Source organism: Homo sapiens, chromosome 9 (genome assembly GCF_000001405.40).
Source record: "Homo sapiens chromosome 9, GRCh38.p14 Primary Assembly".
Taxonomy (NCBI): domain Eukaryota; kingdom Metazoa; phylum Chordata; class Mammalia; order Primates; family Hominidae; genus Homo; species Homo sapiens.
The window spans coordinates 81646615-81659787 of NC_000009.12; the positions used below are offsets into that span (position 1 = coordinate 81646615).

Sequence of the window (13173 nt, forward strand, 5' to 3'; positions counted from 1 at the left end):
ATAGCTGACAGCTATAGCCAAAGGAGAAAAATAATCCAACATTTTACTAATCCTTAAACCAATCATCTCATGCAAGAGTGGAGAGCCCTTTAGGTCTACAACTCAATCTCTTAGGGATAGACAGGCTCCTTCTACAAATGTTTTAGGAGTTTGAATTCACAGCCATCCCCTACACAAAAACATCTAGTCAGACATCACAAAATACCCTAGACTTATTTTTAATTTTATACTAAGTTGTTTTAAAATATACAAAATCAGATATTTGCCTATGGAGAAGGAATATAGAAATCTGACCAATAAACAGATTCCCATATAAGCCCCATATGCCTTGACCAAGGTTATGTTCATGAAAAATAAGTCAGACTACATCCAAATAAGTGAGAAAGAAAAATGAGGTTGCCTAAACCCGAATTTCATGGTTTTTTTTTTCTCTTGTGCATAGGTTATATGTAAACAAACTCAAATTTCTTGATCTCCTGAAGTTCACAGGCATTACTATGGGTAACTGCTCAAATTTTCTTGCACCCAACTGTCAGCTCTGAGGCCACAAATAGAAACCTGGCATTTTGTGGACGGGAGGACAGTCCCCACTGGTCATCTGACGATGTCTTCTAACTCTCTCTTCCCTCCCAATTTTAACAGAATGATTCCTATAACCTCTTGTGCCAACAATGACACTATCTGCCTTATTCTTTGTGTTAGGTAAGGAAGCCAATGATGTCTTCACGTTTTTGCTCTCAATTCTGTCTCCATCTGTTCCCCAAACTTAAGTTTGCACATCAAAAGCTAAATGGCCATCCTTTTTCACTACTGTTTCCTTATTAAAAGTCATTCATGCACAACAACTTAATGGCAGGAGCAAAGCCTCTGGCTGGGTCTAATCTCAAACACCCACATCCCTGTAACCACTAAAGACAAAGGAGGAGGTGCACTGCTGCTTGGCACAACCACCACCAACCAGGACTTGACCAACTGGACCCACAGATCTGCTACAAGCACTTAGGGAAACCAGGCAGACAAAACTGCAGTTCAAGGAGTCAGGACCACATGTTCAGGGAAGGGTGGGAAGGTAGACGGTATTACCATCTACAGATAGGGGACACTGATAGAGGTTAACTGACTATATGAGGTCATAAAGCTAATAGATGGCAGCTAAGTATCCTCCCCAAGTCCATCTGATCCCAAGGCCCATGCTTTGTCCAAGGCAACACAATGTAAATATTCCTATGTGGATTACCAAAAACACCATGAAATGGACCAACAGGTGGTTAGAAATAAAATATACAACTGTGCCATTGTTTACTATTAATATTTTTAAAAATGCAATTAGCTGATTCTCTTTTAACTTTTCAGTTAAAAAAACAAGCATCTTTATGGGCAGGCACGGTGGCTTACACCTGTAATCCCAACACTTTGGGAGGCTGAGGCGGGTGGATCACCTAAGTTTGGGAGTTCAAGACCAGCCTGGCCAACATGGTGAAACCCTGTCTCTACTAAAAATACAAAAATTAGCTGGGTATGGCGGTGCATGCCTGTAATCCCAGCTACTCGGGCGGCTGAGGCAGGAGAATCACTGGAACCCTGGGAGGCAGAGGTTGCAGTGAGCCGAGATCACACCACTGCACTCCAGCCTGGGTTACAGAGTAACACTGTCTCCAAAAAAAAAAAAAACCCAAGCATCTTTAGCTCTTCTTTCACATGCCAAAAGAAAGAAAGAAAAAAAAAAGCAAATATCTTTCTTTAGGAGAAGGGGAAAAACTGTAAGAATAATGGAATTCACTGGGGTCCTGGAAACCACCCCCTTATTGTGGAATGTGGGTTACCAGGTATACACAGGTATCAAAAATCAAGCTGTGCATTTCACTATATTACAATTATACATCAACTGAAAAAAACAAATATATGTGTGTACAGATATGTATCTCTCTATATTATCCCTCGATTATCTGTGATGTAAAGAGAACAATAATTATTTAAAATCCCAATCCCAACTGAAATCAATTATTCAATATCTATCAGAGCAGGTAGAAGAGAGCTTTTAGTTCCAAACTCCCCAAATAATAAAGTGGAGAAGTGGTCTTGAAGAGTCTTTCAATCAATTATCCCTGCATTCAGGCAGCCATTAGCCATTCCACAAATAAGATGTTACAACATTTAATAACCAATTTTGTTTTGATCATTCTTAATAGAAATTTTAAAAAACAAACAAAAATGTTGCTTATGGTGTAAAAACGATCCTGATCTAAAAACTCAAGGTCTCAAATGAGTAAGTTCCCCTCCCACAATGCGACTTGTTTTCTAAGGCCTAAGTGAGCTGTGTGTCAAACCAAATAAACCTTGTACATATTTTGTACACCTTTGCACTATAAATTATCCTTTTCATTGTGACAAGACTACAATACATTTAATAGGAAAAGAATTGGTAAGAAGCAACAGTCAAAAAGTAGGGCTGTAGTTATTATTCTGCCAGTCATCAAATTTGCTGTCAAAGCTGTTTAAAAAAAGGTCTACAAAAATATTTCAATAGTCTCTCCAGTATCAAATACCTAAGAAGCTTATTTTTCTTAAATACCGGTACTCTATGTAAGTTGAAGGCAGGTGCTATGGTGAGAAAGAATTAAAATTCAGTATTTTTTGTCAGACAGGAGAACTACAATTTCTATGCTGGTGAGAAATGGGGACTGTTAATTCACTCAACAAGCACAGAAAAAATACAACCTCTCTCTGTCTCCTCGAAGAGCACCCACAGGCCCAAGACACACCTTGAACTAACCTAGAAGCTGGATGTCCTTGAGATGATTTACTTTTTCCAGGTTTGATAAAGAGAAATATCTTTAGCCCTGTCAAGCAAGCAGTAAAGCTCCTTGATTGTACCTTAAAGGGAATGAGAATGTTTCGGCTCATTTGCATTTTAAAGGGTACTCTTTCATGATCTTTCACACTTGTAATAGATGTCTAAACCGTTAAATTACTATTTCTTTTCTTAGCCTGAAAGTGGATGCAGACTAAGAGCGTGGCCTCTCCCATTGTTCTTTACCCTAAGTCGGCCCCTGAACAATACTGACAGCTGCTATCAAACCAGGCTGCATTTACTCTGCGCGCAGCTGCTGCTTGTAGGAACAGACAGTTTCCCGGTACCTCCTCCCCTCTGGGGAGACAGGTTGACACACTGCATGTTCAATGAAGGGGTGCAAAGGTCCACTGAATTGTCAACCCAATTTTATGCTACTTCAATTTTCCAGAACGCACACAATTCCTTTCAGGCAAAAATCAAGCATATGCCACAGCATGAAACTTAAGGTGTGGGATAATTATTGATCACCACAAACTTGAAAAGAGCCTTCGGACATAAATTCATATACTAATCCAAAAATTACAATGATAAAAACCGCACATGCCAGTATGCCCAAGACACACAATGGGCCTAAGTCTCGCTTGCATTGCGCCTGATTCACCACTTTGGTTTACTGTTGCCAAGGCATCCAGAGCTAACCTGCCTTTATAATAACCTCCACAACATTTTTCCTGGACTAAAGCCATTCGTAAAATTAGAAATTCATTTGCCCTTCTAAAAAGATCTGCTATTTTTATTCTCTGATTCAGCTCAAAATGGGTATTACCTATGAACATCTGGTTAATGCGATTTCCTCCTTCCTAAAGTGTAGGTGCAAAGGAGATTCACAAGAGCTGGGCGGTGCCTTTGAGAATTTAAACGTCAGAGTTTTGCCATCATGAAATTATATGTCGTAATGTAGAGTCTATCAGAAAACAAACATGTTCCACAAAGTTTAACCGGGTACTTGAGAACTGCTTTGCATATGTTTTCTTTTAATCAAAACAGGCTTTTCCATCCTCATTCATTTGGGTGAAAAAATTCTGTGCTTGAGCTACAAGTACAATTCACTATTAGTCTTTGCTAATCAAACACAGTACATGCAAAAGTACCAGTGAATATTTGATTTGATCTCTGAAATAAAGCAATTCATTACACAAGAAAAGGGTACAGAAGGCAGCAGACAAATGCAGATGTAATTGTGTTTTTTGTTGAATGTGATTAGAGAGCCCACTAAGTAACAGTCAAAAATGTGATACTGAAGGAGGGGGAAGGCAGTGCCTGGATCTGGGGGGAAGAGGAGGGAGAATTGTTTATGCAGAGCTAAGCTGTCAAGTGTAATAAAGCAGCTTGAATAAAATTTAAGCTGAAAATCCACTGAAGCTCCCCATTTCAGGGAGGAAAAAGCTATTAAAAGGAAATGAAGGTCACCCTCCTAGTTTATTTCACCTAATTGACTGCCAATAGCTTACCACAGACAACTCAACTGCAGATCTGCAATTGAGAAACTGATGAAAGGAGAGTTTTCAAGCTGAGGCTCATTCTTTAATCCTCCTTGGCTCTTATGTTTTTTCTCCATCTCCAGTTGGGATGTAATTTTAAGCCCTGATGGATTAACTGGTTCCATTGTCTGTGGCCGTCATTGGACTATGGCACTCTTAATCCGTACAGCAGCATGTCTAATTATCATTACAAAGTGTCTGAGGGAACTATAAAGACCAGCAGGGCATCATCTCACAAGCAATTAACATAAATTGATAAATGAGTGATTTGAATCTGCTCAAGGCACTCACATATGAATAAAATCAGAAAGGACGGTCCCTTGTTTCAGCTCCTTCTTTGGCTTAGTGTGGAAGGGGACGAACACATGAGAACCATCCCAGGTCCTGCAGTGGGGGGCGGAGGATGAACTCATGCAGGGGATGGAATGCACGGTTCACCAGATTCATTAATGCAGAGCAAATGACTTGTGATTGACAACCAGTGGCTAGCACGGAGCACTAACTGAACTCAAGAGAGGAGAGCAGAACCCCGGTGAAAAGCCAGGGAGCACTAGGGCAGACAATTAACAATTCTTCCATGGCAAGAGAGCGCTCTTTTCATTGGTGTGTGACTTAAAAATTCATGAAAGAGGCACAAGAAAGAACAAGAGCCAACAGTTCTATAGGTTCGAATACCCCAGAAAGCAAAAGGCAAAAAGCAAGGATAACTAAATGAAATGATAATTCAGAGACCCATTTTGACCTCACTGTGATCTAACATTGTAAGACAGAAGTGAGGAAAGTATTTAAAATTCTAACCTAAAGCTTTTACTAGACTAATGAAGCAAGGGTGGTTTAGGTGTCACAGGATGAACTACATTTATTTTCCCACTTAAAAGTAGATTTAGGGACGGGCAAGGGGGTGCCTGCCTTTGGACCCAGCTACTCAGGAGGCTAAGGCAGGAGGATCACTTGAGTTCCAGGCCAGAGTAGGCAAAATACCAAGACCCCGGTCTGTTTAAAAAGAATTTTTTTAATTAATAGATTTTTTGTCCCCTCCTAAAATGCTTCTCCTGTCATCTTCCTTATGCTAAGCCCTCTTCCTCCATATACCTTAGCACATCCCAAGTCTCTTCCTCTCCTCCTCCCACCCTTATCAAATAGGTCAACGTTAAGATACACACACACACACACACACACACACACACACGTAAAGCCATCAAATTAATAAGAAATGAAAGCTGGTTATACACACTGTAGGAGGTAGACCTGGTAGGCCACGTACCCCGATGATGGCATTCAATTCTGCCATGGTCACCTGTTTGGCACGTTCAACAGCCTGGGCCACCTGTTGTTGATGCTTTGAAAACAAGGAGAAGAAAGGGCATTAGCAACAGCCAAAAACTTCACTGTATATTCTAACAACAAAAAGTCAAATGCTGTGTGCAATGCAGGCTGAAGTAGAAGGGTTTAAATGCAGAATTTCTCAACCACACTTTATTTTCACAGAACATAGATAGGGAAAGAAAAACTGAGAATGGCGCTGCCCTTTATTTCTAAACAACACCAGTCACTACTTCTGGCTGTAAATTTCGGCTTGGAATGGTAGAAAACAAAAAAGGACATAAAGAATGATAACATAGGACCTTAAAAAATAAATAGAACAGAATTTGGAAGATCACCCTTGTTCACAAAAGGGGTTCATAAGTTTACAGCAATTTTAAAATATGCATTTTACAGCCAGATGCAATGGCTCATGCCTGTAATCCCAGCACTTTGGGAGGCCAAGACAGGGTGAGCCCAGGAGTTCAAGACCAGCATGGGCAACATGGCAGAACCCTGTCTCTATTTTTAAAATAAATAAATAAAATACCCATTTTAATACCTAAAACTTTAATATTAAATCCGTTGATTGGTTGATCACTTGTCTGATCAACCAATCTTGACCCACCAGTCATTTTCGGAAACTCCTGGAATTCCTCTCATTCTTTTATAGCCTTTTGATTCTTTACCCTCCACAAGGCAAAGGAAGGACTCCAGCCTCAATTCAGAGATGGAAACTCACCCCACACCTCCCAACTCCCAACTCCACCCACAAATAAAAACAAAGCCATAAATTTACTTTGGGAGGCATGAGAATGTAACATAGAGCCGTGGATCACTAAAGTCTAACAACTACTGATATACTCAAAAGGCAGACAAATCTATTGTCATATCAGACAGACAAAGGTTATGGTGGAAGAGGCTGTTACAACAATAATGAGATGGTGACCATCCGGCATGGAGCAACAGGTGCCAACCAGGATACCCAGTATTCCAACTCCTAGTCCAATAAACTTTCCACCCTGCGTGAAGATGCATTCATCCCGTGCACACTTAGAACACGTTACAGCATTTACTAGCTTATATCCAGAAGGAAGGTAAACTTTTCAAGGCAAAGCTAAAATACAATAGTCTTGAGTCAGTTTCATAGATTACTCATATAAAGAGATTCCTCCCTCAAAGAATGTTAAGATTAAACCTCTATGACTTTGTAACTAAACAAAATAGCTTATACATACATATGACTCATTAAGTTAATGTATTTTGGACTATTATCATCCACCCCTTCAAGGACAGCATTAAGACAACTGCCTTGATACATAAGTACAAAAGAACTATCTGCCTCCATAGTAAAGTCTACCTTGATGGAACCATTTTTAAAAGTCAGTATGAGAACAGCTTTCTATTTAAAAGATATAAAAGACACCTGAATTTTCAGTAGCTCTCAAGCTTATGCTACTTAAAGCAAAAGCTGTACATTGGATAGTCATTTTGCAGTTTTCCACAGGAAAAAAAATTAATTTGGGGGTTGAGCTATTGTCACCATTTCTACAGTGTGCCCTCAGATGTGTTGGATAGACTAGCAGGGGGTTTACACACTTCAGCTGTAACAGATGTTCTTCACACTTGTTCCTTGTGATAAAATTAACATCTTAAAACTAGCTAATTTGCAAACAGAGAAGCAACATAATTGCACTTTAACAGCTGAACAATTTTACTTACTTCCTGAGACAGAAATGGGATGACTTGTGCACAAATCGTATTCAATCTCTTGGCGATTTCAGTCTATAAAGACAAAGCCACACAAATGTTTAGAATACTTCACAATCAGTTCAGAAAGGTAAAACTTCATACCCCTAACACTTCAGTCCTCCTCTCCCTTGCTCTGGAAATGTGTATAAAATGGTTTCCCCAGGTTATGTTACTAATACTTATCTTGAAATAAACAGTAGATATTAATCCCACTTGCAAAGTAAGCCACAACTGCACACTTCATTGTAATAAGAGATGAGTAGTTTGATTGAGTTGGAAAATCTAGGCGGTTTAAGGCTATATGATCATTTAATATGGTGACTATATATATATACACATATATATATGTATTTTTGAGACAGAGTCTTGCTCTGTCGCCCAGGCTGGAGTGCAGTGGCACGATCTCGGCTCACCACAAGCTCTGCCTCCCGGGTTCACACCCTTCTCCTGCCTCAGCCTCCCAAGTAGCTGGGACTACAGGCGCCCGCCACCACTCCCGGCTAATTTTTTTCTATTTTTAGTAGAGGTGGGGTTTCACCGTGTTAGCCAGGATGGTCTCGATCTCCTGACCTCGTGATCCGCCCGCCTCGGCCTCCCAAAGTGCTGGGATTACAGGCGTGAGCCACTGCACCCAGCCAAGTGTACTTTTTCAATGATGGCACACCATGACACATTTATGTCATTATTGCAAGTTCATTCAAGCGGGTGTCAGAAGCCACTGCAGCTGCAGCACTGTCAAAGCAGTCCACCTTTCAAAGATGAGGCCTAAGGTGATAGAGTAGAAGAAAGGCCTGCTGACCTCTTTGCCACTTGTCCCAGCTCTTGTACAACTGAAAAAGGATTTTATTGTTCATAGCTTCCCTAAGTCTCAAACTTTCAAACAAACCAAGAAAACATGACTAAAAACATTCCAGTCTAGAGGGTGATGGTCAAGTCATGATATCCTGAGTATTCGGAAAGTTTCGCCACAGTTCAGTAACAAACTCAAAGACCTCACCGACAGGGCCCAGGGGTCAGCTGAACATAATAAAAGGTGTCCTTAGTGTCTATAGCACGGGCTGTTTTAAAGAAGGCAGGAAAGGCCGGGTGCGGTGGCTCGCGCCTGTAATCCCAGCACTTTCTGAGGCCAAGGCATGTGGATTATGAGGTCAGGAGTTCAAGACCAGCCTAGCCAAGATGGTGAAACCCCGTCTCTACTCAAAATACAAAAATTAGCCGGGCGTGATGGTGGGCGCCTGTAATACCAGCTACTCGGGAGGCTGCGGCAGAGAACTGCTTGAACGAGGGAGGTGCAGGCTGCAGTGAGCCGAGATCACGCCACTGCACTCCAGCCTGTGCGACAGTGAGACTCCACCTCAAAAAATAAAAAAAATAAAGAAGGCTGGAAAAACCTTTGCTCCGCTCCACATCCACAGCAGTCCCTCTGCTACAAGGGACAAAAACTGGCAAGAGAGGGAACAGAGGGTACTCTACTTCTAGCCCAGGGAAGGGTCCACCTGCAGCACCTCCAACACCCTACAGCAATGCAAAGCAGCTCTGCTTTCCTCTACCTAGGAAGAACCAGTTCTGCTTTTTTAAAAAAGAAAAAAAAAGTCATCTGTAAAGAGGCCCATCCTTGACCTTACTTATTTCATCATTTTGTCAATGCTTACTAAATGCCACCTATATTACTGAATTAAGCAATGAAAAGGATCACAAGAAAAAAACTTAAAAGCACGCAGTCCATGACCTTGAGAAATAGAGAATGGAAAAAGACAAAGTAGAAATCCCAGGAACAAAGTCGAGCCTGCGGTGAGCTGAGATCGCGCCACTATACTCCAGCCAAGGCGACAGAGCAAGACCCTGTCTCAAAAAAAAAAAAAAAAAGAAAAGAAAAGAACAAAACCCCAGGAACTTTACAATCAAGCATATAAAAAACAGCAGCCTTGTATCTTCTAAGATGATCTGAATTAACTAAGCAAAGTCTTTGGTTTTATAAGATTGGATTTAGTCTGACCCAACCCAATTCTCCCTGACCACCAATGAGACAAGGTTACAGACAGACCATGCCTTGGACAAAATGTACTAGAAGGGGAAATGACTGGTAGAGAGAGGAAGCCCGTGCATGACCTTGCTTTAGCCAGCGAGGCAGATATATGCAAAAAGGGTGCAGCTGTACCAGGTACAAAAACAGAACTGGGTCAGCCCCACCCAGTTCATTTGATCACAGCCACCCACTCAAGCTACCTCAAGGTCATGGCTCTCCTCGAAAGCATGGGCAAGGCTTTCCTTTGCAACAGGGTTCTGCACTGTCTATTTGAGTGCATGTAAAGGAGTAGAGATGCCTTTGGTAGGTATCCTACTTAGGTCCTTGCTCCCAACTCCCTACCTACCACACATTCCTGCAACACTCTGTACATTCCTCTTCTCGGAAATTCACATTGAAGGTTTCCAGTTTTAAAAATGATATATGCTCACTTTGAACTCATACACATGCACACAGATACATATACAGAAATATAAAAGAAAGTTAAAATAACCCTGAGCCCATCATCCAAGGATAAGCATGGGTAACATATTGGTGATTTTAGGATACCATCATTCCAGGTTCTCACTTATGTGCACAGAAGCCCAGAGTGAGAGACACATTTTAATACCAAGGGGTTTCCGTTACATACCCTGCCTTTCTATAATTTGTTAATCAAACATGTGTCAGGGACACCATCCCAGTCAATACAGATTAACAAGTACCTTGAAACATTCCACCATACAAGCATATAGATGTCTAAGTACTATTGACACCAGTGAATATTTATGTTTCATTTAATTTTGCACAATTAACAACTCTGTCAAATACGCCTCCACACAGATCTCTAAAAGGAATCCCTAGATGTGAAACTGCTGGGTCAAAGTGTATGCATATTTTAAGTTGCAATGCATGCTGCCAAACTGCCCAGCAGAAAAGCTGTACCAATTATTGCGAGTTTAGGAGGGTTCCTGCTCTCCCACCCAGTGTCAATATTGAGTTTTGTTGACCTTCCTTTAATCTTCATCCATCTAATGGATTAAAAAATGACCTCATTTTTATTTGCATTACTTGAATTCTTCCTCTAGTTAAACATCTTTTCATGTATTTATTGCTCCACTCTATGTTTCCTTTCTCCATTCTTCCATTGTTGCTTAATCATTTTTGTCCTTTGGTGGTGCTTCCTTGAATGGGACAAATATTAACCCTTTATCAGAGTTTGCTCAGCTTGCCACTTGTCTTTCAACCTTGCTTAATATGATTTTTTTGCTGTATAGAACTTTAAGTCTTTATGTGGTCAAATGAAAGCATTTTCTTCCTATGCTCCTGGCCTTTAGGTAAAGATTAGAACACATCAATATCATAAAAGCCATTCTTACTTTTCTTCTAGTGTGCTATGGCTGCACTTTTTATGCTTAACTATTTAACTGGAATTTATTTTGGTTTAAGAAAAGATGCCCTCATCTTTAACTATGATAGCAACTATGTGTTACTACCTAGAATGGCATCAAAGTAGACTTGAACATGGTCGGAGGACAGTTAAGATCCAGTCTGAATGAAATGAACTTGTAAACCTTTAATAATATTAAAGTTATCAAAAATAAAATAAAGAAAAGAAAGACATATGAAAGCAAAGGCAATGAATACAGTGGTCTCTCGGTATCTGTGAGGGATTGGTTCAGAATCCCCCATGGAAACCAAAATCTAAGGATGCTCAAGTCCTTTATATAAAATGGTGTATTTGCATATAACCTATGCACATCTACCCATACACTTTAAATCATCTCCAGATTACTTAAAATACCTAATACAATGTAAATCCTAGGTAAATGGTTGTTGTATTATTTAGGAAATAATGACAAGAAAAAAGTCTGTACATGTTCACTACAGACATAATTTTTTTTTTTTTTTTTTTTTTTAAGACAGAGTCTCGCTCTGTCACCTAGGCTGGAGTGCAGTGGCACAGTCTTGGCTCACTGCAACCTCCACCTCCCGGGTTCTAAGGAACTCTCCTGCCTCAGCCTCCCAAGTAGCTGGGATTACAGGCACGTGCCACCATGCCCGGCTAATTTTTTGTATTTTTAGTAAAGACGGGGTTTCACCATGTAGAACAGGCTGATTTTAAACTCCTGACCTCAAGTGATCCACCTGCCTCAGCCTCCCAAAGTGCTAGGATTTATAATCCTAGCATGAGCCACTGTGCCTGGCCGATGCAATGTTTTTTAAAAAAAAGTATTTTCAAACCATGGTTAGCTGAATTCACAGATGCAGAACCCACAGATACAAAGGGCCGACTGTACTATGTAAGTTGGGTTAGACTGGATAAGCCTGAAACAGGAGGAGAAAAGTTAGAAATCAAAGCTCAAACTGATGAAAAACATCGAAAGCCATACCATATGTCCTGGAAATTCTACATAAATGGTCTGGAGAAGAAGCAAATAGGAGCAATAGAGGAGAGTCTTACCCAAGACTTCCCCTCCGTCTGCCAGGTCTCTAAACCCTAATCTTAAACTATACTGACAAGCCAGCTTGACTTTTGAGCCAGAAAATCTAAATCCAAGTCTTGGACTGTTCTATTAACAAGCTGGTTTACCCCAGAAAAGGCGCTGACGTCCTCTGAAATACCCTGGCTCCTTCACCTGCACAACCTACCTCCTGGCAGGTGAGGGTACACAGCTTACCCAACAATGCTCTGTGAGTCCTAAAACATCACTAGCTCTCCAAGAGGACTTCATGAACATCTTCCCTTCAAATAGTCTGGATTGCAGCAGCATACAAACTGGCAATAATTCTTAGTATTATCTCTTGCTTCAACAAAAGGGTATTCTGGTAAGATTCTTAATTTAGCACAAATTAACAAGTCTCGTAGTGACTTTATTTTATTTATGTATTTATTTATCTATTTATTTATTTTTTTTTTAGATGGAGTCTTGCTCTGTCACCAGGCTGGAGTACAGTGGAGCCATCTTAGCTCACTGCAACCTCCGACTCCCTGGTTAAAGCAATTCTCCTTCCTCAGCCTCGCGAGTAGCTGGGATGACAGGCACGCGCCACCACACCTGGCTAATTTTTCTATTTTTAGTAGAGATGGGGTTTCACCATGTTGGCCAGGATGGTCTCGATCTCCTGATCCTCGTGATCCGCCCACCTCAGCCTCCCAAAGTGGTGGGATTACAGGCGTGAGCCACCGCGCCTGGCCTCTCGTAGTGACTCCTGCCCATGCTTCTATTCTTGATTGGAGTGTGCTGGCAGGTTAACCTGGGTATTTGACCCTGCTGCCTTCCACCTCTTGCAAAGGCTAGACAACTCCAGTGAAAAACTGAGGGCTAACTGTATTTCCCACCTAGAAATAATTTTCCTACCCAATGATGAATACCTATTTGGTACCCACTAAGTCATAATGCTTATAAACTTTCCCTGTGCCTAGATTTTTTAATACTGTGTAAGGCAACAACAATAAATCTGCATTCAAGAGCTATCCACAAACCAAATCTGCATGAAACCCTCCACTCAGAAATGTAAGCAGCAGGATGAAGGCTCCAGCAACAAGACTTTCTTCATGGATGGCCACCACCTACTGAGGCAGGAGGAAGCAGGAGTCCAAATTACCTGTCTACAACAGTCTTTCATTCTCCTTACCTATGCCAACTCTCCTCACTGATTTGCATATGGTAATACAGTTAGCCCTCATCATCCAAAAATTAGGGTTTGCATCTTGGCAAACTACTGCTAGGGGTTCTATGTTAAATCACTTAAACCACTGGGTCCCAACCAGGTCT

General features: G+C 41.0%; 1 protein-coding gene across 22 annotated transcripts in view, besides 1 other annotated feature; it reads right to left on the reverse strand.

The window, feature by feature from the left end:
* The window catches only part of TLE1 (TLE family member 1, transcriptional corepressor), a 105865-nt gene that overhangs the window by 62932 nt on the left and 29760 nt on the right, over positions 1 to 13173 (reverse strand). For 11 of the 22 annotated variants that reach the window (XM_047423817.1, XM_005252163.3, XM_047423814.1 and 8 more), the window contains exons 5-6: positions 7360 to 7422; positions 5600 to 5674 (exon numbers count right to left, since the gene is read on the reverse strand). The exons of 1 other annotated variant lie outside the window; for it this stretch is intronic. In XM_047423817.1, the coding sequence (XP_047279773.1) occupies positions 5600 to 5674; positions 7360 to 7422 (138 nt within the window). Of the gene's footprint in view, positions 1 to 5569; positions 5675 to 7359; positions 7423 to 13173 lie in introns of all 22 variants that reach the window. 10 more of the 22 variants (XM_047423816.1, XM_047423815.1, XM_047423813.1 and 7 more) reach the window with 1 other exon arrangement.
* Positions 2666 to 5421: an enhancer, noted in NCBI's record as "VISTA enhancer hs1359". NCBI's record gives its function as "enhancer in: neural tube[8/10] | hindbrain (rhombencephalon)[8/10] | midbrain (mesencephalon)[8/10] | forebrain[8/10]" and the evidence as "EXISTENCE:transgenic organism evidence [ECO:0001131][PMID:17130149]".